The following is a 23,525-nucleotide window of genomic DNA, read 5'->3' on the forward strand; positions in this document are numbered from 1 at the left end:
CCCTTTGTACTTTGGCCCCGGGGGCGGGAGGCAGAGGTGGAGGGTGGAGTTTCACTTTTTTCCGCTCTTCTCCCTCCTGCAGGAAACAGCATCAGATGACGCGGGCGGCCTGCACCGCTCCCCTCCCAGAGGCTCCAGGCGGGGAGTTCCCGGGTAGGCGGGCCAGGAGAGGCAGAGAGGGAAAGGGCAGAACCAGATCCCCCATCACAGCAGGCTTTTGAGATCTAGAAAGAAAAGCCCCCAGCTGCGTGCTCTGCTGCCTAGGGTGGAGGTTGGTCTCTGCTAAGGATGGGCCATCTCTGCCCTCTGCATCCGCATCGGCGGCAGCAAAACGGGGTTACAGAACCACACTTGGGAAGGGGGTGAACCCGAGTCTGGTCTTGGCTGCGAAGTTGTGGGACTGTGCGATCCATCGATTCTGAGCCTCATTATTTTCTTTCTTTTTTCTTCTTTTGAGACGGAGTCTTGCTCTGTCGCCCAGGCTGGTATGCAATGGCGCAGTCTAAGCTCACTGCAACCTCCGCCTCCCGGGTTCAAGAGATTCTCCTGCCTCAGCCTCCCGAGTAGCTGGGACTACCGGCGCGTGGCACCACGGCCGGCTAATTTTTGTATTTTTAGTGGAGACGGGTTTCACCATGTTGGCCATGCTGGTCTCAAACCCCTGACCTCGTGATCCTCCCGCCTCGGCCTCCCAAAGTGTTGGGATTACAGGCGTGAGCCACCGCGCCCGGCCATTCTTTTCATATATGATATGAGGACGAGAAAGCTCTGCCTCGTAGAGCTAGTTGGATGGGGTGGGGAAGACTGGAGGACAGACGGAACTGGCTGCACCTCAAGCTCTTGGAGTGGATTGCCTAAGGCTCTCTTCTTCTCCTCACCTGGGAAACAATCCGCTTCTTCATATCCCTTCCCCATTGGCAGAAACCTGAGACTTGTCCAGAACTTTGCCCAGGATTGGATTCAGAATAGCTGAGTCGCCCTCACAACTTCTGGATAGGGCTGCCCCAATTGCTTTGAGCCTGTCACTTTAAGAAAGACGACGCTATCCTATTTCGACTATTCCTGCCTGTTACGGAAGGTTGTTCTCTACACCCTAGGTCTGAGCTCTGACCCGGAAGTAGACGCCGCTGGGAGCGAAATCGGTCGTGACGTACGAGGTCCAGCATTAAAGGGGGCGGGCCGAGAGGGGCGTGCTTCGGTAGTGCAGAACTCTCGCTGCTACTAGGGGAGTCCACGCCTCCACCTTTTCCCCGCCTCCTGTAACTCATTGGAAGAGCTGTGCGCCAATTACTTTGCCGTTACCCAATGGCTACTCAACTGTCTCTTTGGTTCCGCCCAGTCGTCTACCCTGGGTTGGCAACGCCTGGGTCTACGCATGCGCCCAAACGCTTTTACGCTCGAACTTGCTTTAGTCCTGGAGTCTGCGCACGCCCAAAGGGCACCCCTCGCGTCCTACCGCGCCATCACCTTTCTGCGCTTGCGCATTCATGCCGTCAAGTTTTCCTTTTCCGGGTCCCAATTGGAATCGTTGGGCGCATGCGCCACTGCAGGCTGGCGGTTCGCGGCTCCTTCTTCCGGCCTCCTCCTTAGGCCGGCACCAGCAGAAGCCGGGCGAGCGCGGAGCCCCAAGCAAGTGACCTGCGACCCCGAAAGTGGACCCCAGATCCTGGGGTTCTCCCTGGTCCGGAGACTAGGGAGCTGTCGCCTGCACCCCGGGAGCACCCACCCCACGACCACCTCTGGATGCCGCCGACGGGTACCCGGCCCGTGCCCCGCGCCTGCCTGCCGGCTCGGCCCCTCGGAGCAATTCTGGGCCAGGAGTGGGGACCCGGACCCCGCCCCTGATGCAGCCCCACCCCCGCGTCCGGGCCTTGCACCACTGACTGTCCCGGCCGGCCCCGCCCCCTGCTCGCACCCTCGCGCGGCCGAGCCCCCCTCCCCCGCTGGGGGAGGCCATGGCGTGAGCGTGAGGCCGGGCCCCGGGGCCCTCAGGCGCCAGACGGGGCATGGGCCGGGGGCCGCCCCCATGAGGGTCCCGGGAGGGGGGGCGCGGGCAGCAGCGGCGGGGCCATGGGGTCGCAGGTGTTGCAGATCCTGCGCCAGGGGGTGTGGGCCTCGCTCACCGGCGGTTGGTTCTTCGACCCGCACCAGAGCACCTTCTCCAACTGCTTCCACCTCTATGTCTGGATCTTCCTGCTCATCTTTCCCTTCTTACTGTACATGGTGAGACGCCACGGCCACCTGTAACTCCAGCCGGGAGAGGGAGGGCAGCCTGGCAGGGATTCAGGGCAGTGCCCTGGGCTCTGGGACGTGGAGAGAGAGGAATCACTGCAGAGTTTGGGTCTGTGTGGAAGAGGGGCCAAAGTCTTCCTTTCTTGGATCGAGTGACCTTGAACCCTACACTTAATCTCATCCAGCTAAGCAGAATACAGAGCCCTTTGTCGAGGTCTGTGTACTGGTTGTGTGGAGAGGTGATGAAATTTTCTTGTGAGTCTGTGAATCCCAGCTATGATGTTGATGGCAGGTACATCCTGTGGGGGCGAGGCTTTGTGAAAAGGGACCTGGCTTACTTTCATCTTCAGGTCCTGCCTCCCAGCTTGATGGTGGCCGGCGTGTACTGCCTCGTGGTGGCTGTCATCTTTGCTACTATCAAGACTGTCAATTATCGGCTTCATGCCATGTTTGACCAGGGCGAGATCGTGGAGAAGCGCAGCTCTACCATGGGGGAGCTGGAGGAAGAGCCTGCCCAGGGGGACAGCAATCCACCCAGGTGGGTGGGGTAGGGGCTGTGCTGGGGATTGAGGGTTTTTGGTGCCTGGGCCGGAACCTTGCAGGGTGGAGTAGGGGCTTAGGGAACATTGGCTCTCTGAGTGATTGTGAACACTTGTCCTGTGTTAGCCCTGGAATTGTAAAGTGACTTCTGAAAAAGAAGCAGTGACAAAGATGGGAGGAAGTAGCATACACAGAGGAGAGGTTAGCTCAAAGCTGCTGCTCTTTTTCACCGCCAGGGACCCCGGAGTGGAGATGACAGTGTTCCGGAAAGTCAGTTCCACACCCCCGGTGCGCTGCAGCTCCCAGCACTCTGTGTTTGGCTTCAACCAGGTCTCGGTGAGTGGGCCTGGACCTCAGCTTGTCCTCCTGTCCCTCTGCGAGCCAGTCCCTACTGTGGGTGCATCCTGAGCCTACTTCTTGCCTTGTTTGTTCCTTCATGGCTCTCTGTCTACTCAGGAGCTGCTGCCCCGAATGGAGGACTCTGGGCCCCTTAGAGGTAGGTGGCTGCTCTTCAGGGTTGGAGCATAGTGCTGTGGAACAGGGGCTGGCGTGCTGTGCCAGGGGGTCCTGCTGACACCTCTGGGGCCATGGTTGCAGACATCAAGGAGCTGGTGCGGGAGCAGGGCAGCAACAATGTGATCGTGACTTCTGCCGACCGAGAGATGCTGAAGCTCAGCTCGCAGGAGAAACTGAGTGCGTGGGCCTTATGGGGCCGAGGCTTGTGGGCTAGACCAGCTGTTTCGTTGTTGAATCCCCTCAACTTTGGCTCCATCCTGGGTCTCCTCTGTATTCCTCTGTGGGACCTCCCCAGTGTGCTGCTGTGGCTGGGCTCTCAGGGAAAGTACAGGGCATAAGACCTCCCTTAACCACTAGTTTGTTTTGCAGAAAACCCTTTTTTCATTTTCTGTTTCCCTTTATTTTGGCAGTTGGAGACCTTCCCCAGACGCCTCCAGGGGCTGTCCCAGACCCCTCTCTTGCCAGTACAGACTCTTCAGAGCCTTCTCCCCTGGCTGGAGATGGAGCGCCCTGGAGTGGGAGCAGCATGGCTGACACTCCCATGAGCCCCCTGCTGAAGGGGAGCCTCAGCCAGGAGCTGAGCAAGAGCTTCCTGACCCTGACCCAGCCTGACCGGGCCCTGGTGAGGACCAGCAGTCGACGGGAACAACGCAGGGGGGCAGGTGGCTATCAGCCCCTTGACCGGCGGGGCTCAGGGGAGCCCACGCCCCAGAAAGCCGGCTCCTCAGACTCCTGCTTCAGCGGCACTGACAGGGAGACATTGAGCAGCTTCAAGAGTGAGAAGACCAACTCCACCCATCTGGACAGCCCCCCAGGGGGGCCAGCCCCTGAGGGCAGCGACACAGACCCACCCTCTGAGGCTGAGCTGCCTGCCTCACCAGACGCCGGGGTCCCCTCAGATGACACGCTGCGTTCCTTTGACACGGTCATTGGAGCAGGGACGCCACCGGGCCTGGCTGAGCCGCTCCTGGTCGTGCGGCCCAAGGACTTGGCCCTGCTACGGCCTAGCAAACGGCAGCCACCCCTGCGAAGACACTCTCCACCTGGCCGTGCCCCTCGACGGCCCCTGCTTGAAGGTGGGGGCTTCTTTGAGGATGAAGACACTAGTGAGGGCAGTGAACTGAGCCCGGCCTCCAGTCTCCGATCGCAGCGCCGCTACAGTACTGACAGCTCCTCTTCTACTTCCTGCTACTCCCCTGAGAGCTCCCGGGGTGCAGCAGGGGGACCCCGGAAGCGGAGGGCCCCCCATGGGGCTGAGGAGGGAACTGCTGTGCCCCCCAAGCGGCCATATGGGACCCAGCGGACGCCTAGTACCGCCAGCGCTAAAACACATGCCCGTGTGCTGAGCATGGATGGGGCTGGGGGTGATGTTCTGAGGCCCCCACTGGCTGGCTGCAAGGCAGAGCTGGAGGCCCAGGTTGGGGTGGAGCAGGCTGCTAGTGAGCCTGTTGTGCTGCCTGCTGAGGCGCGAAGGGGACCCGCTGCCAACCAGCCCGGCTGGCGGGGGGAGCTGCAGGAGGAAGGTGCTGTGGGGGGAGGTGAGTGCTTGCTCTAGAGGCAGGGGCTGGGGGACGTGAGCTACGGGCTTGGGGTTGGGCAAAGGGCAGGTAAGAATGGACCTGGTCAGTGTCAGCTCAGCCTCGGTTGTAGGCAGCAGATGGACGTGGGCCTGGTGGTGATTGACATTGTCTGCCAAACCTCTTAGACATGGGGCTCAGCCACCTGGCTCCACATCCTTGATTAGCACCTGAGTCTCTGTCCCCTGAGGACTCTCATCATCCACACTCATCCTCCCACCACCAGTGGGGTGGGGCAGGGCCGATCAGTGTCATCCTTGTTTGCAAGTAAGGAAACTGAGCATGGGGCTGTGTGACCTGGCTGGGCCTCAGAGCCGGGGCGTGGTTGTACTAGGCCTTTAGCTCCCTGGCGGAACACCGTCCCCAACCTTACTCCCCCAGCCTTGTCTGAGCATCTGTCACTTACACTTGGGGGCCTCTCTCTGGGCAGCGGCCGAGGAGACTGGCAGGCGGGACCGCTCAAGCAGTGTGAGGCGGACCCAGGCCATTCGGAGACGCCACAATGCAGGCAGCAACCCCACCCCTCCAGCCTCTGTCATGGGCTCGCCGCCCAGGTGAGCACCTTGCCAGCTGTGCCGAGGGGCACCGGGGGCCGGGGAGGGCCCGCAAGCTCTAGCTGGCGCTGACCTGGGGCTGACCCTCTCCAGCAGCCTGCAGGAAGCTCAGCGGGGCCGGGCTGCCTCCCACTCCCGGGCGCTGACGCTGCCCTCTGCGCTGCATTTCGCCTCTTCACTGTTGCTCACCCGGGCCGGTGCCAATGTGCATGAGGCCTGCACCTTTGATGACACTTCTGAGGGTGCTGTGCACTATTTCTACGATGAGAGCGGTGAGCCTTTCCCAAGCCCGGTGGCCCAGTGCCTCCCCGCCTTCCCCCAACAGCCTGAGTCCTCCTAGCAGTGGTGCTCGCTCGGCCCTGTGGCAGGTACACTGCTAATGCTGCCAGACATCATCCTTGCAGCCTCTTTGAGGCACGGTGTCTCTGTCATCTTTTGCTCTGCTGATGAGGAAACAGAGGCTCAGCTTACAGTACAGGGGAGATCTAAAGCTAGGACAGGTGACTGCCGCGCCCAGGCTCTTGACCTGTAGGCCCTTTCCTCTCCAGAGGCTGGGCTGCCCTCTCAGAGGACACAGCACAAGGTTCTGCCTCATTTGATGGGTCTGGTGCCCACGTGAGCCGGGCCTTGGTGCTTCTGTCTCTGCCACGCTGCCTCATCTCCCATACCCTGCCCCAGGTGTGCGGCGTTCCTACACCTTTGGCCTGGCTGGAGGCGGCTACGAGAACCCTGTAGGGCAGCAAGGGGAGCAGACAGCTAATGGAGCCTGGTGAGTTCCCAAGCCTGGCCTCCCAAGCCATTGTCTTGGTGGCCTGCATCTCTGGGAAGTTCCCTGAGCCTGGAGTTTGCTCTCTTCCTGCTGGGCTTGGGCAGGGGCAGCTCAGATCTGCAGGGAGAGGATGGGGAGCAGCAAAGGACAGACCTCCTGGGGTCCCTGGCTCCATGACACTCCGGGCAGGAAGTTTCTAGGAAGCCCAGGGCACAGCCTCGACACTCGTGCCAGGGTCTGGGAGGGAGGCACTTCTGCCACCTGACCCCAGCACTTGTCCCTTGAGCCCTGGTTGGTCTCGGCACAGACAGCCCTACCTGCCTGGCCTTGGCCTCGGCCTCGACCCCACCCAGCCCCAGGGCTCGCCCGTGGGGGGATCCTGATGGCTGCTGTTCTCACAGGGACCGACACTCGCATTCCTCCAGCTTCCACTCGGCTGATGTCCCTGAGGCTACAGGCGGCCTGAACCTGCTGCAGCCGAGGCCTGTGGTTCTGCAGGGCATGCAGGTGCGCCGGGTGCCCCTGGAGATCCCGGAGGTGAGGAGCAGCCGGGGAAGGGCCGTGCCAGTGGGGCGTGACGGGGCGGGCAGATCACTGAGTCCGGCCTGCATAGAGAGCTTGCCCAGGTGCCCCAGGAGGGACGGGCAGTGCTGAGTGAGCGCTCCAGGGGCCCTACTGTGTCTGTCCTGATCTTTGATGTTGGCAGAGACTCTGGGTCTGAATGGCTGGAGAAGTCATTTATTTGCTTACTACGAATTCCTTTGGAGTACATTCCTAACTCTGGAGGGTCCCACAGTGAACAGGGGCCATGGGTGTTAATGATGATACTTGCGGAAGTGGCAGTGTTCTGTTAGCAAGCAGGGACCCTGTGATGACTGTGCTGCCCTGCATACACTGTGCACGTGTGGCTGCTGGGGTGCTCTCTGTTAACACTTCCTGTCTCAGTATACTCATTACCAGCGCTCTGTCACTCTTAAGAATATCACAGTTTGGACAGTAAATTTGTATACTTAATCTATTAACACCAGAAGCGCTAAAAATGCGTGAAACGCCATCTTAGAGCTTAAAGAATGATCATAAAAGGGTACCCGGCACCTGACCCTCAAGGCCACAGATAGGTTGGGCAGCCCCCAGAAGCTCCCACCTGCCCGCTTCTGGTTCATTTCTTCCTTGTAACCATGTGGGGTGGAAGCGTGGCCGGCGGCCGCCTCCAGAGGGAAGGGTTGCGTGCCTCTGGCTCGCCATTTTATCCTTGGATCCCAGGGCAGGGCCGGGCCCATAGCTGGGGCCCCACAAGTGCTTGTTGAGTGAAGGATACAACAAATGAGAGGTCAAGTCATGTGCCCAGGGCCTCAGGGCTGGCATTGGCACCTAGGCATGTCCTCAAGGCTGAGCCCTGCATGCACGCTCGGATGGGGTAGTCAGAGTGACAGTGACAGGCCCTGTCTGGGAGGAGGGTAGCATTTGTGCCAGGTCCCAAAGGACAAGTGGACTTCCTTGAGCTTCAGAAGAGGTGGGAGAGTTTGCCTGACTGGGGAAGACAGGCGTGGGAGCGGGTGACTCTAGGCAGCCCCTGCAGCCACTGGGCGACGTCCTGGGAACCTGGAGAGAGGAGGAGCCCTTTCAGATGAAGGGTTCTGGTGGGGTCCAGGGCCGCTAGACAGGGGCCTTTATGTGCTGATGGAAATGGTCAACCAGACCGGTGTGCTGAAGGGGGGTAACAGTAGACCATGTGGGGGGTGGCGGGGCTGACGGCCGCGGCTGTGGGGACTGCAGTTTGACCTGCTGGACCAGGACTCCCTGCACGAATCCCAGGAGCAGACACTGATGGAAGAAGCGCCACCCCGGGCCCAGCATAGTTACAAGTACTGGCTTCTCCCTGGCCGCTGGACCTCTGTGCGCTATGAGCGGCTTGCCCTGCTGGCTCTGCTGGACCGGTGAGTGTCCCGCAGCCTTGGCCCCCAATTCTTGGAAAGCCCCTGGACCTTGGCTCCCCAGACTCTGTACCTGTGGAGGCAGTCATGGCAGCAGAGAGCCTGACTCGGGGGAAGCTGAGGGCCTGTCGTTGGCTGGAGTCTGCAGTGGTGGTTTCTATGGTTCATTTGTGGTGTAAAGGGGTGGCCAAGTGGGTGGTGCTGTATTAAATCTGTTTATTCCAAAGTCCTGCTGAAAAAAACTTTTTTTGAGACGGAGTCTCTCTCTGTCGTCCAGGCTGGAGTGCAGTGGCATGATCTCGGCTCACTGCAAGCTCCGCCTCCCAGGTTCACGCCATTCTCCTGCCTCAGCCTCCTGAGTAGCTGGGACTACAGGTGCCCGCCACCACACCTGGCTAATTTTTGTATTTTTTTTTTTTTAGTAGAGATGGGGTTTCACAGTGTTAGCCAAGATGGTCTTGATCTCCTGACCTTGTGATCTGCCCGCCTCGGCCTCCCAAAGTGCTGGGATTACAGGCGTGAGCTACCGCGCCCGGCCATCCTATTCACTTTTTTTTTATTAGCTTCTGTTGATTTGAAAATCGAGTGCTGTAACCTAGAAAAGCTCACAGACCAGTTATCTCACTTTTCCCATTTCTCAGAGGGGACACAGAGTCCCAGAAAATCCAATAGAGAAGTCAGATGACTTCTACCCAGTGTAGAGAACTTGGGCCTAGAGCCCATGTGGCTTCCCGTCCATCTGGGTTTCTCTAGGCACAGGGACTGGGTGCTGGTCCTGTGTGCATAGCGTGGCACGCCCAAGGCAGCATGCACGATGTAGCCACGTGCAGTTAACTCAGTCTCAGCTGGGGATGGATGAATCCCGGGAGTAATGGCACCCTGAGCTCTCAGCCCTCAATGTCCAGAGCAGGCAAAGATTGGGAAGGAGAGAGCAATACAATGGTCGCTGGAGCAGGTGCTGCCGGGCCGCGTCGTCGCAAAGTTATAGGTGTTCACATCTTCAGAGGACAAGGGTCTGGCATGGGCACAGTCCCAGAGCTGGGCCTTTAGGGCAAGATCCATCTTCCCCACTGCCCCACTGGAAGGTGAGGCAAGACGGGCACGCCCTGACTAGGCTGTCCCTGCAGGACGCGGGGAGTGCTGGAGAACATCTTCGGCGTGGGCCTGAGCAGCCTTGTGGCCTTCCTGGGCTACCTGCTGCTGCTCAAGGGCTTCTTCACTGACATCTGGGTCTTCCAGTTCTGCCTGGTCATCGCCTCCTGCCAGTACTCCTTGCTGAAGGTCAGGCCGGGCTCTCTGTGTTTCCTTCCCCACCCGACTTTTCCCAAGATTGCCCTTCCCACAACTCCAGTTTTAAGGAGTATAAGCTGAAAGGTAGATAATTTGTCTAAGGTTCCCTAGAGCTGGCCAGCTCTTTTACAAGCAAGAAAACTGAGGCTCAGGACAGTTCGGGGGCCTGACCTGGTCACTCATAACTGCCTAGTGGTGGAGCTGAACAGGTCTGGGGCCTCTGACCATCCCGTGGGCATCGGCTCTAGTTGCCAACGTAGCCCTGTCTCTTCCAGAGCGTGCAGCCTGATGCGGCGTCCCCCATGCACGTGAGTACCCATGGAGCAGCGCCTCTGGCCAGGAGGCCCCGGGAGGGGCTGAGACCAGGTGGGGAGGAGGGTAGGGTATGGAGGGCTGGGGCTCCCTCACCACCCCCATCACCCCCACCTGGCCAGGCTCTCCAGCTTGGACCCAGGGCCAGGCCTGGGGCCCTTGAGTGTGTGCATGTGTCAGAGGTGTGGCCAGTCGGGGAGACCCAGCTCCTCATGGGCTGACCCCTCAGGGCCACAACTGGGTGATCGCGTACAGCCGTCCTGTCTACTTCTGCATCTGCTGTCTGCTCATCTGGCTGCTGGACGCCCTGGGCTCAGCTCAGCCCTTCCCACCTGTCTCCCTCTACGGCCTCACGCTCTTCTCTGCCTCCTTCTTCTTCTGTGCCCGAGACGTGGCCACTGGTGAGGCTGGGGCAGGGATGAGGTGGCCCAGGAGAGTGAGTCCCCGAGGGTGGGCCGCGGAAAGCCAGCAGGCTGACCAGGCCTTCGTGTCCCCTCCCTGCCAGTGTTCACCCTGTGCTTCCCCTTCGTCTTCCTCCTGGGCCTCCTGCCCCAGGTCAACACCTGCCTCATGTACCTGCTGGAGCAAATAGATATGCACGGCTTCGGGGGCACAGGTATGATGCCCACAGGTGGCTCAGGGATGGGGCCCGTGTGGAGGCCCAGGAGGGCCCTCGGATTGGGTCCTTGGCTCCACCCTTGCGGAACCTTCTCCTGCGTCTGTACTGCAGACTCAAGGTTTCTGCCTTCTCCCCTCTCCTTCCCTCCCCAGGCAAGTGGTTTATATCTGAGAATCTTGGAAGCTCTAAAGGCCGCTTGGGGCTTGGGGCAGCAGAGAACAATGGGCTGGGGGTGCCTTTCCAGGGAGGCCAGCCTCTGGGAGTTGAGGGGAAGCGCGGCTAGGGTTGAGGTGGGGTACCTGCAAGTGAGAGCTGGGCTGTACTTCTCCCTTCCACACAGCTGCCACCAGCCCGCTCACGGCAGTCTTCAGCCTCTCCCGCAGCCTGCTGGCTGCTGCCCTGCTCTACGGTTTCTGCCTTGGGGCCATCAAGGTAGGGGTGGCTTGCGAGGTGGGGGCATGCTGCAGTGCGTAAGGGTGGTTGGGGCGGGGCTGTGAACTGGGCTCAGCAGTGGCTTCTCACACGGGGGCAGCCCGGGCCCCATGCTTACCTCACCTCCCCTGACCAGCATGGATTCTCTCCGCAGACTCCGTGGCCAGAGCAGCACGTCCCTGTCCTCTTCTCAGTCTTCTGTGGCCTCCTGGTGGCACTGTCCTACCACCTGAGCCGGCAGAGCAGCGACCCCACCGTGCTCTGGTGGGTGTGCTCCGGGTCGTGTGTTTGTGTCTGCCCAGTAGGGGTTTGTGGTCTGTGCATGTGCCCGTGACTGGGGCCGGGGGGAAGGAGGGGCGGCCTCCTCCTGACTCTTCCTCACCCCCAGGTCTCTGATCCGGAGCAAGCTGTTCCCTGAGCTGGAGGAGCGCAGCTTGGAGACAGCCCGGGCCGAGCCCCCGGACCCCTTGCCGGACAAGATGCGCCAGTCGGTGGTGAGGGGGCGGGGGGTGGGGGTCTGTGGGGAGGTGGTGACAGGTCCTGGGGTTCCTGGGAGGGGCATGTCCAGCTTGGGCTGCTGGGCAGCTGAGTGTCTCTCCTGGCCGGGCAGCTGAATGTCTCTCCTGGCCCTGCAGCGTGAGGTCTTGCACTCCGACCTGGTGATGTGTGTGGTGATCGCCGTGCTCACCTTCGCCATCAGCGCCAGCACCGTCTTTATTGCCCTGAAGGTTTGTGTGGCATGGGCCGCTGCTGCCTCTCGCTGTCTTGGCGGGAGCCTGCTCAATCTGAGTGCCGTGGGCAGCCCCTCCCCGGCCTGTGCCAGGTGGCCCTCTGTGGTCCCTTGGCCTGCTCCCATCAGCTGAGTCTCTGGCCTCTCCCTCCTGCAGTCGGTGCTGGGTTTCGTGTTGTACGCACTGGCTGGGGCCGTGGGCTTCTTCACACATTACCTGCTGCCACAACTCCGCAAACAGCTGCCCTGGTTCTGCCTGTCACAGCCCGTGCTGAAGCCGCTGGAGTACAGCCAGTATGAAGTGCGCGGTGAGTGCCCACCCCTGATGGCCAGGCCTGGGCAGTGGCTCGGGCTGCAGCCTGGCTGGTGGGAGCTGTGGTCCTCTCGGCTCAGGAGTGCCAGCAGGGGGCACTCGCTGCCCACACTACCCTTTCTGCTCCCTCCCTGCCCTCTGTGTCCGTGTTGCCCGGCTGCGCTCTCCACCGACTCTTCTCCTCGTGCCCTGCTGTGCCCTTCCCTTGCCTGTGTTGCCCTGGTCCTGCCCTCCTTCCTGTCTGTGAGAAGACGGAAGAATTAGAACCCCAGGGCCCTGAAGGGATCTCTTGTCCAGAATTAAACACTGATCACCAGTGGACCAGAGCTGCCTGGAGCACATCTTCACTGGGCTGCATAATGGTTTTTAAAAAATCCTGGAGCCTCTATTTTAGCATCTCGATTTGAGATATGAAGATCCATGTTTCTTGAGTTTTTCTTAAACGACAGAAGATTTTGCTTCCCAGACTAGCATCCCTCTGTGGCTACAACCAGCCTGAACCGAGGGGTCTGCCCTTTAGAAGGGCCCAGCTCACGGGCTCACTGTGCACTCAGGCCCTAGCCAGCCTGCTGTACGTAGGTGTTTGCGATTTCATCATTGGCCTTGTTTTAACAGACAGCAGAGCAGAGCACCTGCCATAAAGCAAGCCTCGATGTGCTAAGTGCCATGTGGAGCCCTTGCCCTGCTGGGGCTCGCTGCTCCCATTTGAGCTGCCACAGATCAGCCCCTCCCCCCAGGGTCTCCGAGGAGTCAGGACCGCACAGCCTGCCCTCCTAGGGAAGGACTTCCTCAGGGAAGGCAGGCATGTGGAAGCCAGGTGCAGAGTCCTGGCCTCTCCACACAGGTGCCGCCCAGGTGATGTGGTTTGAGAAGCTGTATGCTGGCCTGCAGTGCGTAGAGAAGTACCTCATCTACCCCGCCGTGGTGCTCAACGCCCTCACGGTGGACGCCCACACAGTCGTCAGCCACCCGGACAAGTACTGCTTCTAGTGAGGACCACCCCACCCTCAACGATCCCATCATCCGCTTTCCCTTTTGATCCGTGGGGAAACTGAGGCCTAGAGAGGGAATGAATCATGTCTAAGGTTGTTTAGCAAGCTAAAGCAGGACCCCAGCTCCTGACACGCCATCCCAGGAAGTGGTTGCTTCTTCAAAGGCAAATGTGTTCCCACCACTCCCTTTGGAAGAGCAGAGACTAAGAGTCACGGGCCCAAAAGAGCAGGGACCAGCCCAGCAGAGCAGAGGCCAGGGGTTGCTCTCCGGCCAGAGTAGGCGAGGGATGGGACACCTATACCCACTGCCCCGGTCCCCTACCAAGCACCCGATGCCTGCCCCTTGCCCACAGCTGCCGGGCGCTGCTGATGACCGTGGCTGGGCTGAAGCTGCTGCGCTCAGCCTTCTGCTGCCCCCCACAGCAGTACCTGACGTTGGCCTTCACCGTCCTGCTCTTCCACTTTGACTACCCGCGCCTCTCCCAGGGCTTTCTGCTTGACTACTTCCTCATGTCCCTGCTTTGCAGCAAGGTGAGTTGGTGGCTGTGGCCCAGACCCCAGGCTGTCCAATGGGAGCAGAGCCAACTTCTGCCTGGGTGGGAAGAGAATTTCCTGAGGGCCTGTGGCCACCGCTCTGTATCAGCCCCGTGGGCCTTTGCAGCAGCCTCTCAAGGAAGGGGTTACTTCCACCCTCTACAGAGAGGAAGCAGGCTGAAGGAGGTTGAGGGACTTGCCTCAGGCTTCCAGAGAATTGGTGGTCAGCCAGGATTTGAACCCAGGCCTGTCTGACCCCACGACCACCTCCTCAGAAATGGTTAGGGTAATCAGGACCTGGCCTTATCCTCTGGACGCAGACCTCTGAGTTCCACGCTCTTTTGCCACCCTGGATCCAGAGCAGTCCGAGCTGAGTTTCAGAAGCCCCTAGTGCCTGGGTGTGTATAGGTGCTCTGCCGGCTGTGGCATTGCCACGGCTTGGGGGGCTCTTTGAACTAAGGAACCATGCTCCTACACTCTACTGGAGGCCAGCAGTGGTACCTGGAACCCCAGGCAGGCCTGAGCCTTTTTCTTCCTCACGTGGGCATTCTGTTCTTGTTTTCTGGCCTGGCCCAGGATGGCGGTCATCCACACTGCGTACCCTCTGAGGGCAGGGCCTGTGGCTGTTCTCAATTTTCAGTACTATAGTCTAGCTTCAGCCTCACCAGTGACCTAGTGGCGTGACCTGAGGAAGTCATTTATCTTCTCTGTCTTCACTGAACCTCAACTTTCCCATCTGTGAAAAGGGGCCAGCAATAGGAATAAGAAGCTCACAGGGTACTTGTGTGAACTAAATGGCCACCGCCCCCTTTGAGCTCAGGCAGGGGTTGCTAATGGCATCAGGCGCCTTGAGCCATGTCCAGAGCACAAGGGCTGGCAGTGACCTTGAGTTTGGCCCCCGTGGGCCAAGCCAGTGCGATGACCCAAGCCTCTGAATGGGGCCTGGCATCCGGGGGCTTCCATGAGTGACCCTGCATGTCTTTTTTCTTCTCCCTGTTGGCCCTGCCAGCTGTGGGACTTGCTGTACAAGCTGCGTTTCGTGCTGACCTACATCGCGCCCTGGCAGATCACCTGGGGCTCGGCTTTCCACGCTTTTGCCCAGCCGTTTGCCGTGCCACGTATCCAGCCTGTGTTTGGGTGGGGGTGTGCAGGGAGGGCTGTGGCCTGGGGCAGTGGGGGGTGGTGGGGGGCTGGGAGGTCCTGTTGCCCGCCGCCTCCTTGACTGTGGCTCAGACTCGGCCATGCTGTTCGTCCAGGCCCTGCTCTCGGGGCTCTTCTCCACGCCTCTCAACCCACTGCTAGGCAGTGCCGTCTTCATCATGTCCTACGCTCGGCCCCTCAAGTTCTGGGAGCGCGACTACAAGTGAGTCTCACAGGAGGCGGGAGCATGCCCAGCAGGGCAGGAAGGGAGAGGTTTGGAGCCCAGGCTGGAGGCCACCCACAGAGGGGCCCACAGCAGGTATGGGAGGGCTTGGTCACAGTGGGGACACATGAGGCGGCAGATCCAATGCAGGGAGAGCCTGCACCAGGCCAAGGCTTCAGGCTCACAGCTTGGGGATAGTGGGGTCTGGGGATGAGCTTAGCCTCCCAGCTTCTTGGCTGTGTGTCCTGTGTGAGTCCCTTCATGTACCTGAGCCTCAGTCTCCTCATCTGCCTGCATAACGGGGCTGTCCTGGATGGCGTTGACCTTGTGGCACAGGGAGAGCATGAGCAGGGTGCACCCTCTCTTCACCTTCTTGGCCAACCGCCTTGTTGCACTCTCTCTGAACAGCACTAAACGTGTGGATCATTCCAACACCCGCCTGGTCACACAGCTGGACAGGAACCCTGGTGTGTACCCAGCCATCCAAGGGGCTTTAGGGCAGGGCCTCCCTGGGGAGGGAGCCTCGCTAACTTGTCACTTTGTCCATTTGCCCGTCTGTTCTGGGTCTTAGGCGCTGATGACAACAACCTCAACTCCATCTTCTATGAGCACTTGACACGTTCGCTGCAGCACACACTGTGTGGGGACCTGGTGCTGGGCCGCTGGGGCAACTATGGCCCTGGTGACTGCTTCGTCCTGGCCTCTGACTACCTCAACGCCCTGGTGCACCTCATCGAGGTTGGCAATGGCCTCGTCACCTTCCAGCTGCGTGGCCTTGAGTTCCGGGGTGAGCCGCAGGACCAGGCTCGGGTGGGCAGGCACAGCTCGGGCCTGATGTGGGAGCTGTGTTCAATAGCACGTGCGAAGGAGGTCCAGTCCAGCTCTGTCCAGGCTGGCGGGTGGCCTTGGGCAAGGCACTCCTCCTCCCTGGGCCTGCGTTTCCCAGTCTGAGCAATGAGGTGGCAGGGTCTCTTGGCCAAGCCCTGTGCCTGCCCCAACTTTAGGTCCCAGTGACTCTACAGGTCACTGCAGTGAGGGCCTGGGCCTGGAGGTCTGAGTTCTCACACCCAGCCTGCTCTGTGGTCTCAGGCTTGGCCCATGGGTTGGGCGCCATGAGTGAGCCAGCTCCTTCCTCTCAGGAAGACGTGTGTGTTGGATGCCCGAGAGTGCAGAGGGGCCAGACCGTGTCCCTGCTCCCTCCCGCCCTGCCCTTGGATGCTGGGAGTTGGGAGGAGAAAGGCAGGCGCTCTTTCGTGAATCTTGGCATCCAATAAGGTTGACTCCCCTGGCGTCCAAGGGGGTGAATGGCAGCAGGCCTCTGATGCCATGTTGGTCACTCTCCCAGGACAGGGCAGGTAGGGATTGTTCTAGCAGCCCCTGACTGCACACCCCTCCTCCACAGGCACTTACTGCCAGCAGCGCGAGGTGGAGGCTATCACCGAGGGTGTGGAGGAGGACGAGGGCTGTTGCTGCTGTGAACCTGGCCACCTGCCACGGGTCCTGTCCTTCAATGCTGCCTTTGGGCAGCGCTGGCTGGCTTGGGAGGTAACAGCCAGCAAGTACGTGCTGGAGGGCTATAGCATTAGTGACAATAATGCTGCCTCCATGCTGCAGGTTTTCGACCTCCGCAAGATCCTCATCACCTACTATGTCAAGGTACGGTGGGCAGGTGTGGCCGGGCAGCAGGGCCCTTGCGGGTGAGCGCTCGCTGACCAGAGGCCCCAGTACCCCCTTTCTGGGTTGTTGGGAGCCTGTTTTGTCCAAGGGAAGCTGAGGCCTCAGAGAGTTTAAGTGTCCCCTGAGGTGCCACTGCCAGACCTCAGGTTGCAGGGGCCTCTGTGCCCATATGGCTCTGATAGGTGCCCAGGCAAGGAAGGCTTGCTTTGGGCAGTGAGTATGGGGCAGGTGGGCAGTTGCAGAGGCCAGCCTTTGAAACCACCAGCCCCTGCCCCCAGCTCACCCAGCACAGAGCAGTGGTAGAGCTAACAGTTGTCACGTTAACGATCATCATGGGAGCAGCTGCTTGAGCAGTAACATTTACCACGGGTGGGCGCTATGCTGGGCATCTCTCCTGAGCTGGGTGGAGTCCCCCACCCTTTGAGAGGGGCCCTGCTATCTCACAGATGTGGAAGTTGGCTTGCAGAGGTTCCAGAATCTGAAGAAAATGGCCAAGCCAGGCCTTGAACCCAGGCTGGCCCTGAGCCACAGAGCTTTCCTGCCTTAGCCTGGGGGCTCTGAGCCAGGCCTGAGGATCTTGAGACCTCTTGGGGGTGGGAGGGGGTTGGTGAGGCAATGTGGGGTACATAAGGAGCCCTGGAATGGGGGTTCTGATCAGCCTGGAATGTTTCTTCCCTGTGTCCCTCAGCTTACCCCTTGAGAAGTGGGGGTTATTGCAGTTCTCTGAGATGGCAGAAATGTTGAGGCTTGGCCAAGCGTGGTGGCTCATGCCTGTAATCCCAGCACTTTGGGAGGCCAAGGCAGGTGGATCACTTGAGGTCAAGAGTTTGAGACTAGCCTGGCCAATGTGGCGAAACCCCATCTCTACTAAAAATACAAAATAATTAGCCGGGTGTGATGGCGGGCACCTGTAGTCCCAGCTACTTGGGACGCTGAGACAGGAGAATCACTTGAACCTGGGAGGCAGAGGTTGCAGCCAGCCGAGATCGTGCTACTGCACTCCAGCCTGGGCAACAGAGCAAGACTGTCTCAAAAAAAAAAAAGGAATTTTGAGGCTTGTGGTGCTCAGAATAAGCGTACTGGGAGTGGGGTGGCCTGCTGATCACAGTGCAGGCTCCCACGTGCCTTCTTAGGATCTACCCTGGTGCTCCCTATGTTGGGCTCGGTGGGTGGCCTACTGGGGCCCAGGTGAGCCTGCCACCTAGGTTCTCTCTGGAGTAGTTTCACGAGGCCCTGGCTGTCCTTCTCCAAAGGAAATCCTGTCCACACCACATATCAGAGGAGCTGTCATTTGTCATTCCTTCTGCCCTCCCAGCCACTCCTAGGCAAGGATTTGTGAGACCACCCCCCTTTCATCAAGAAGGAGGCTGTGTCTAGAGAGGGACATTCCCAGTCCCAGGTCACCGAGAGGTCATGGCCTGGTCCACCTTCCGGTCCCATCTTGAGAGAGGTGCCCTTGCCCAGGTTGCCCTGCTGTGCCTGCTAGGCTAGGGCCAGCAGGTTGAGATGCACCTGGCCAGGTCTCTTGTCCCATGGGGAAGCTGACTGGCCACATCTAAGGCTGCCTCAAAGGCTGGGCAGAATTTGAGTCTGGAGGAAGTGCTTGGAGGACCTGGGGTGGCTCCGCTGAGGATGTGGACTGAGGGTGAAGCTTGGAAGGACAAGTCAGGGCTGCCAGGGGTGGGGCGGGGGGAGGCGGGTGTGCTGGGGAGCCTGGTGCATCTGGGGAAGTGTCCCAGCTGCAGGGATAGGTCCTTTCCAGCCTTCGAGGTTGGCCAGTCGAGGCGGAGCCCCTCCCGTTAGCTTTGCCCTTCCCGTGGGAGTTACTGGGCTCTCAGACCTGCTTCTGCAGCTGGGAAGGGCTACAAGAGCAGGAAAAGGCACCGTGGCTTGAGGCTGCACGGAGTCTGGGCAGTGCTTCCCGGGAAGTACCTTGGGCAGAGCCCAGCTCGCAGTGAGCGCTCACAGGCGGAGCGGCTGCTGGTATTGCCCCCCGTCTTCATTTTCTTCCTAAGATGACCGTGAGTGTTGTGTCAGAGAAAAGGATGGCACTGGTGAAGGTTAACCAAGCACCTGATATGTGCCAGGCCAGCTCCTCTCCCGGTCCCTGAAGCTTTTCTTTTTTTTATTTTTTTTTGAAACAAGGTCTCATTCTGTCACCCAGGCTGGAGTGCAGTGGTGCCATCTGGGTTCACTGCAGTGTCCACCTCCCAGGTTCAAGTAATCCTCCTACCTCAGCCTCCCAGGTAGCTGGGACTACAGGCATGCACCACCATGCCTGGCTAATTTTTGTATTTTTTGTAGAGATGGGGTTTCGCCATGTTGTCCAGGCTGGTCTTGAACTCCTGGGTTCAAGCGATCCTCCCACCTCCACCTCCCGAAGTTCTGGGATTACAGGTGTGAGCCACCCTGTCTGGCTGAAGCTTTTCTTTTCTGGGTCTTTTTAGCAGCTCTGGTGGTGCCTGGATTGTAGAGGCGAGCTATGGGCAAGAAAGTCAGTCTGGAGCGGGTCTGCCCTGGCAAAGGGCCTGCCCCATTAGCTCCATCTTAGGGTGGCACATGGAATCCCCATCACCTCACTGGCTGCCCTGCCGGCCTTAACCCGCCCGTGCATCCTGGCCATGCCAGCTACCTGTCTTCCAAAGCTCCTGTACTTTTGCCCAACAGGGCCTTTTAACAAGAGGTCCAGGAGCCCCCAGCTTTGGGTACCACATGTGCCCGTGGCTTTTTTCTGAGGCGAGGCCTGATGGCTGTCATGCTTCAGCTGCCTAAAGGGACCTGTGACCCAGGCACTCTGAGGCAGGCCCACTACTTCAGCCTGCCCTTCCGGCCCCGAGATCTGGATCCCACAATGTCATGATGGGGAAGGTCCGGGGTTCAGGCGGCAGTTCAGTCTGTTCTGCCCCACTCGCTCCCCGCCCCCTGCCCATGTGACATCTGGATGCTCCCGCGCTCGGGGTTATGTTTGTGCAGGAACACCAGCTCCTGCTGCTACCTGGCCCACGTGCTGCACAGGCACTGAAGGTTCACCTGAGGGCCACACCATAGTGTCGGGGCCAGCCAGAGGCGGGTGGGGGACAGGGTTCAGGGCAGGTGGGGCCAGCTCCACCTTGATGACTTGGAAGCTGAGGTGGTAAATGTTGAGTGTGATGATCTTGTTCTCGTTGGGGGCTGCCATTTGTTTGAGCCTCAATTTCTCATACAAACGGGGCATATTCTAGGGCAGAGGCAGGCAGATGCTGCTTGTGAGTGCTAGCCCCAGCACAGGACTTCCTGCTCTGTAAGTGGGTGCTTCCTGGCGGCTTTGTCACTCCTCCCTGGTCTAGGGGAAGGAGCCAACTTGCTTGGTTGCTCTTGAGAGCTGAGATGGCTCTAGGAGCGGGGCATCCCAGAAAGCGGACTTCAGCTCAGTCTTGGGGAGGAGCCTCTGAACCTCCATGCTTTCTCCTCCAGTGGCCAGGGCCGGGACCCCGGCCTGACGCCTGCCCCTCCTCTCCCAGAGCATCATCTACTACGTGAGCCGCTCACCAAAGCTGGAGGTGTGGCTCAGCCATGAGGGCATCACGGCAGCCCTGAGGCCTGTGCGGGTGCCCGGCTATGCCGACTCGGATCCCACCTTCTCGCTGAGTGTGGATGAGGACTATGACCTCCGCCTGTCTGGCCTCTCGCTGCCCTCCTTTTGTGCTGTGCACCTCGAGTGGATCCAGTACTGCGCCTCCCGGCGCAGCCAGGTCAGGCTCCACTACCTGAGGCTGCCACCTGGGGCTGTGGGACCTGGGCTTCCCTGCTCCCCTTCTCCCCATTTGGTTTCCTCTCACTCTGAGCCTCCCTTAGCCTGAGCCCCAGCCCCCACTCCAAGGTCCCTGTCCCAGGTCTGAGCTGGGCTCTGGGATGGGGGTCCTTATGCCACAGCCCGTGGACCAGGATTGGAACTCCCCGCTGGTCACGCTGTGTTTTGGCCTGTGTGTGCTGGGCCGCCGGGCCCTGGGGACAGCCTCTCACAGCATGTCTGCAAGGTGAGTGCTCGGGTGTCCCGCGGGGCCTACTGCCGTCCCCACCCCACCTCTTCCACGAAGAGCACTGTGGTCTCTGGCCACAGTGGCCACAGAAACTGCAGTGGCCCTTCCTGTTGGGGTACCTCTTCTCCCACGGGCAGGGCACTTCCTGGTCATGACCTTGCCTGCTCCTCAGTGCTCTGTGAGAGACATGGGCAGAGATTGGCCTCTTTGTCAAGATGGGGAAACTGAGGCTCAGCGTGAGGAAAGGCCTCTGCTTGGATCACTCTGAAGCCTTACCCCTGGGTCCTCGACACCCCTCTCTCCCCTCCCTGTTTTTCCTCCCACTTAGCCTGGAGCCCTTCCTCTACGGCCTGCACGCCCTGTTCAAGGGGGATTTTCGCATCACCTCCCCACGTGACGAGTGGGTCTTTGCCGACATGGACCTGCTTCACCGCGTTGTGGCGCCTGGGGTTCGCATGGCCCTCAAGCTTCACCAGGTTGGGGAGGGGTGTGCCCAGCAGCATGGGCAGGTGGGGGATGAAGCCTCTCTCCAGGGCAGGGGCCACTGACCCCTGTTCCCGTCTTCTCTACCAGGACCACTTCACGTCCCCAGATGAATATGAGGAGCCAGCAGCCCTATACGATGCCATTGCGGCCAACGAGGAGCGGCTGGTCATCTCACATGAGGGTGACCCAGCATGGCGCAGCGCCATCCTCAGCAACACGCCCTCCCTGCTGGCGCTGCGCCATGTCCTGGATGATGCCTCCGACGAGTACAAGATCATCATGCTCAACCGGCGCCACCTCAGCTTCCGAGTCATCAAGGTTGGGCCGGCCCCACCTGCCCTAAGCCCTGCCCCAAACCCCCTTGGGCCGGCCCCCTGACCCTGGCGTGTGGCTCTCAGGTGAACCGGGAGTGCGTGCGCGGCCTGTGGGCCGGGCAGCAGCAGGAGCTGGTGTTCCTGCGCAACCGCAACCCCGAGCGTGGCAGCATCCAGAACGCCAAGCAGGCGCTTCGCAACATGATCAACTCCTCCTGTGACCAGCCGCTGGGCTACCCCATCTACGTGTCGCCTCTCACCACCTCGCTGGCTGGCAGCCACCCCCAGCTACGGGCACTGTGGGGTGGCCCCATCAGCCTGGGTGCCATTGCCCACTGGCTCCTGCGCACCTGGGAGAGGTGAGGCCTCGGGAAGGGGTGACGTGTGGCGCGGGAGGAAGCTGAGGTGCAGTACGTCCCTCCTGGGTCTCAGAGGGAGGACGTGCTGGAGCCAGGGCTTGAATCCCGAGAGATGACCCCCTCCCAGAGCTGACCTGCCCCTCCTAGATGTCACCTTACCCCCAGAGCTGACAGTGGCCTTTAGTCATCAAGCACTGTTGACAACGCACCCTCAAAAGACTCTGCAAAGTAGGTGGCAGCTTCTTAGAGGGGAGGATCCTGGGGCTCAGAGGTGTTAGATGACTTGTCCTGGGGCTGAGGACTCATGCTTGTGAGGCCTCTGGCCTCAGCCGTGTCCCTCCTGATCCCTTTTCTACCTCTCCACCCCCAGGCTTCACAAGGGCTGTGGCGCCGGCTGCAATAGTGGCGGGAACGTGGATGATTCAGACTGTAGTGGGGGCGGTGGCCTGACCTCCCTCAGCAATAACCCCCCCGTGGCACACCCCACACCTGAGAACACGGCAGGTGAGCAGGCGAGGCTGGGCTGAACCCGTGGGTGAGGAGTGCAGCCCAGCTGAGGCCTCTGCTGTCTTATCTGTCTCCTACAGGCAATGGTGACCAACCCCTCCCACCAGGCCCTGGCTGGGGGCCGCGGTCCTCCCTGAGTGGCTCTGGTGATGGGCGGCCCCCACCTCTGCTGCAGTGGCCTCCCCCTCGGCTCCCTGGACCACCCCCTGCATCGCCTATCCCCACAGAGGGTCCCCGGACCTCACGGCCCCCTGGCCCGGGTCTCCTCAGTTCTGAGGGCCCCAGTGGAAAGTGGAGCCTGGGGGGCCGGAAGGGGCTGGGAGGATCTGACGGGGAGCCAGCCTCAGGGAGCCCCAAAGGAGGTACCCCCAAATCTCAGGTAAGGCACCTGTGGGAGGGTTGGGTCCCAGAAGGCTAAGGCCTGCTCACCCGCCAACCTCTCCCCCCTCCCCCAGGCGCCTCTAGACCTCAGCCTCAGCCTCAGCCTCAGCCTCAGCCCCGATGTCAGCACTGAGGCCTCACCCCCCAGAGCTTCCCAGGACATTCCTTGCTTGGACAGCAGTGCCCCTGAGAGTGGCACACCTATGGGTGCCCTGGGCGACTGGCCTGCCCCTATTGAGGAGCGTGAGAGCCCGGCAGCCCAGCCCCTGCTGGAACACCAGTACTGAGCTACCTGGCGCCCACTGGACCACCTCCTAGGATTCAGTAACGGACCTGCTCTGCTGCCTCTCTGCTGGACCACAGAACTGAGTGGCTTTGGCCTACATGTCTGAACCCTGACCTTTGGCTGCCTTGGCCAGAGTACCAAAACTGAGTGACCCAGACCTCTGACCTTGACCCCTGATCTCTCTCATCCCCAGTCCAGGGCCTGGGCTCCCCAGATGGAGGCAGTCAGCCTCCCAGCCAGGCCCTAAGAGCCAAACCATGGGCTGGTCCCACTTGGAGCCTGTGGCCAGGACCACCTCAGCCCCTGGGCCTGCACTGCCTGCAGGTGTGGCCCCCTTGGCCTGGACCTGGGGCCTGAATTGTGGGAAGGGTGGTTTCTTTCTTTCCTTTTTTTTCTTTTCTTTTTTTTTTTTTTTTTTGTGCTTCGGAGACATCAGAATTAATAACACTATTTTTGATTTTGGTTGGCAGTTTCTTTTTCTACCTGGGAATGGGTACATGATAGTACAGGCGGCTAAGTTGGGATGGACAAGCACGCAGAGGGGTGAAGGATGTGGGGCTGAAGTCTAGTAGAGATCAAGGGCAGACCAAGGTGGGGTTCAGGTAGAACCGGGTCCTCTTCACCGCATGGCTGCTCCCTTTTCAAGCCTTTATCTGAAGGGTATTGTCTGCCATTTCCCACCATATGGTCAGACTTCCAGGTCTGGTGGCTCCTACATTTATCAGGCTTGTTCTTGGCCAAAGCCTTTCTCTGCACCTCAGCTGCTCCAGGGCGTAAAGAGATGACACC

The 23,525-nt window shown here is 60.1% G+C and overlaps 1 protein-coding gene and 1 non-coding gene across 11 annotated transcripts, besides 9 other annotated features; both read left to right on the top strand.

Annotated features, from left to right (window-relative positions):
- Positions 20-449: an enhancer, noted in NCBI's record as "active region_4992". NCBI's record gives its function as "activates an Ori minimal core promoter by ATAC-STARR-seq in GM12878 lymphoblastoid cells {active_cell/tissue: GM12878}" and the evidence as "EXISTENCE:reporter gene assay evidence [ECO:0000049][PMID:35858748]".
- Positions 20-1,077: a biological region, named in NCBI's record as "H3K27ac hESC enhancer GRCh37_chr11:65381903-65382789".
- Positions 191-1,077: an enhancer, noted in NCBI's record as "H3K27ac hESC enhancer chr11:65381903-65382789 (GRCh37/hg19 assembly coordinates)". NCBI's record gives its function as "activates a minimal SCP1, AML or CMV promoter by ChIP-STARR-seq in naive H9 embryonic stem cells {active_cell/tissue: H9 hESC(naive)}" and the evidence as "EXISTENCE:reporter gene assay evidence [ECO:0000049][PMID:30033119]".
- Positions 960-1,009: an enhancer, noted in NCBI's record as "active region_4993". NCBI's record gives its function as "activates an Ori minimal core promoter by ATAC-STARR-seq in GM12878 lymphoblastoid cells {active_cell/tissue: GM12878}" and the evidence as "EXISTENCE:reporter gene assay evidence [ECO:0000049][PMID:35858748]".
- Positions 1,070-1,159: an enhancer, noted in NCBI's record as "active region_4994". NCBI's record gives its function as "activates an Ori minimal core promoter by ATAC-STARR-seq in GM12878 lymphoblastoid cells {active_cell/tissue: GM12878}" and the evidence as "EXISTENCE:reporter gene assay evidence [ECO:0000049][PMID:35858748]".
- Positions 1,440-1,589: an enhancer, noted in NCBI's record as "active region_4995". NCBI's record gives its function as "activates an Ori minimal core promoter by ATAC-STARR-seq in GM12878 lymphoblastoid cells {active_cell/tissue: GM12878}" and the evidence as "EXISTENCE:reporter gene assay evidence [ECO:0000049][PMID:35858748]".
- On the top strand, positions 1,535-23,198 carry PCNX3 (pecanex 3). 10 transcript variants are annotated; one of them, XM_011545024.3, is made up of 35 exons: positions 1,535-2,223; positions 2,583-2,770; positions 3,009-3,108; positions 3,229-3,268; positions 3,370-3,465; positions 3,699-4,826; positions 5,296-5,419; positions 5,513-5,691; positions 6,098-6,188; positions 6,590-6,725; positions 7,965-8,125; positions 9,250-9,403; positions 9,688-9,720; positions 9,954-10,125; positions 10,230-10,340; positions 10,684-10,775; positions 10,930-11,039; positions 11,164-11,269; positions 11,411-11,503; positions 11,663-11,813; positions 12,663-12,807; positions 13,164-13,341; positions 14,354-14,462; positions 14,578-14,707; positions 15,116-15,174; positions 15,279-15,494; positions 16,110-16,363; positions 19,885-20,115; positions 20,297-20,400; positions 20,732-20,879; positions 20,977-21,207; positions 21,288-21,562; positions 21,933-22,066; positions 22,150-22,448; positions 22,525-23,198. In XM_011545024.3, the coding sequence occupies exons 1-35, from the start codon at positions 2,071-2,073 to the stop codon at positions 22,735-22,737; spliced, it is 6,144 nt and encodes a 2,047-aa protein (XP_011543326.1). In that variant the 5' UTR covers positions 1,535-2,070; the 3' UTR covers positions 22,738-23,198. The 10 variants fall into 10 exon arrangements, with proteins under 10 accessions (XP_011543326.1, XP_006718612.1, NP_115599.2 ...); XM_006718549.5 differs by having other exon boundaries at positions 7,983-8,125; NM_032223.4 differs by having other exon boundaries at positions 8,004-8,125.
- Positions 1,600-1,649: an enhancer, noted in NCBI's record as "active region_4996". NCBI's record gives its function as "activates an Ori minimal core promoter by ATAC-STARR-seq in GM12878 lymphoblastoid cells {active_cell/tissue: GM12878}" and the evidence as "EXISTENCE:reporter gene assay evidence [ECO:0000049][PMID:35858748]".
- Positions 1,780-2,029: a silencer, noted in NCBI's record as "silent region_3546". NCBI's record gives its function as "represses an Ori minimal core promoter by ATAC-STARR-seq in GM12878 lymphoblastoid cells {active_cell/tissue: GM12878}" and the evidence as "EXISTENCE:reporter gene assay evidence [ECO:0000049][PMID:35858748]".
- MIR4690 (microRNA 4690) lies at positions 22,069-22,128 on the top strand. Its single transcript, NR_039839.1, has one exon. It is a non-coding gene; the product is annotated as a microRNA 4690 (primary transcript).
- Positions 22,681-23,471: an enhancer, noted in NCBI's record as "H3K27ac-H3K4me1 hESC enhancer chr11:65404393-65405183 (GRCh37/hg19 assembly coordinates)". NCBI's record gives its function as "activates a minimal SCP1, AML or CMV promoter by ChIP-STARR-seq in primed H9 embryonic stem cells {active_cell/tissue: H9 hESC(primed)}" and the evidence as "EXISTENCE:reporter gene assay evidence [ECO:0000049][PMID:30033119]".

The sequence above is a fragment of the Homo sapiens genome, chromosome 11 (genome assembly GCF_000001405.40).
Source record: "Homo sapiens chromosome 11, GRCh38.p14 Primary Assembly".
NCBI lineage: Eukaryota > Metazoa > Chordata > Mammalia > Primates > Hominidae > Homo > Homo sapiens.

What these genes read in the sequence shown, in the direction of transcription:
- PCNX3 (XM_011545024.3), top strand. Translation starts at nt 2,071, where the DNA reads ATGGGGTCGCAGGTGTTGCAGATCCTGCGCCAGGGGGTGTGGGCCTCG. An exon ending in GGGGACAGCAATCCACCCAG is followed by an intron (nt 2,771 to 3,008) that starts GTGGGTGGGGTA and finishes TTTCACCGCCAG; the next exon opens with GGACCCCGGAGTGGAGATGA. An exon ending in TGCCCCTGGAGATCCCGGAG is followed by an intron (nt 6,726 to 7,964) that starts GTGAGGAGCAGC and finishes TGGGGACTGCAG; the next exon opens with TTTGACCTGCTGGACCAGGA.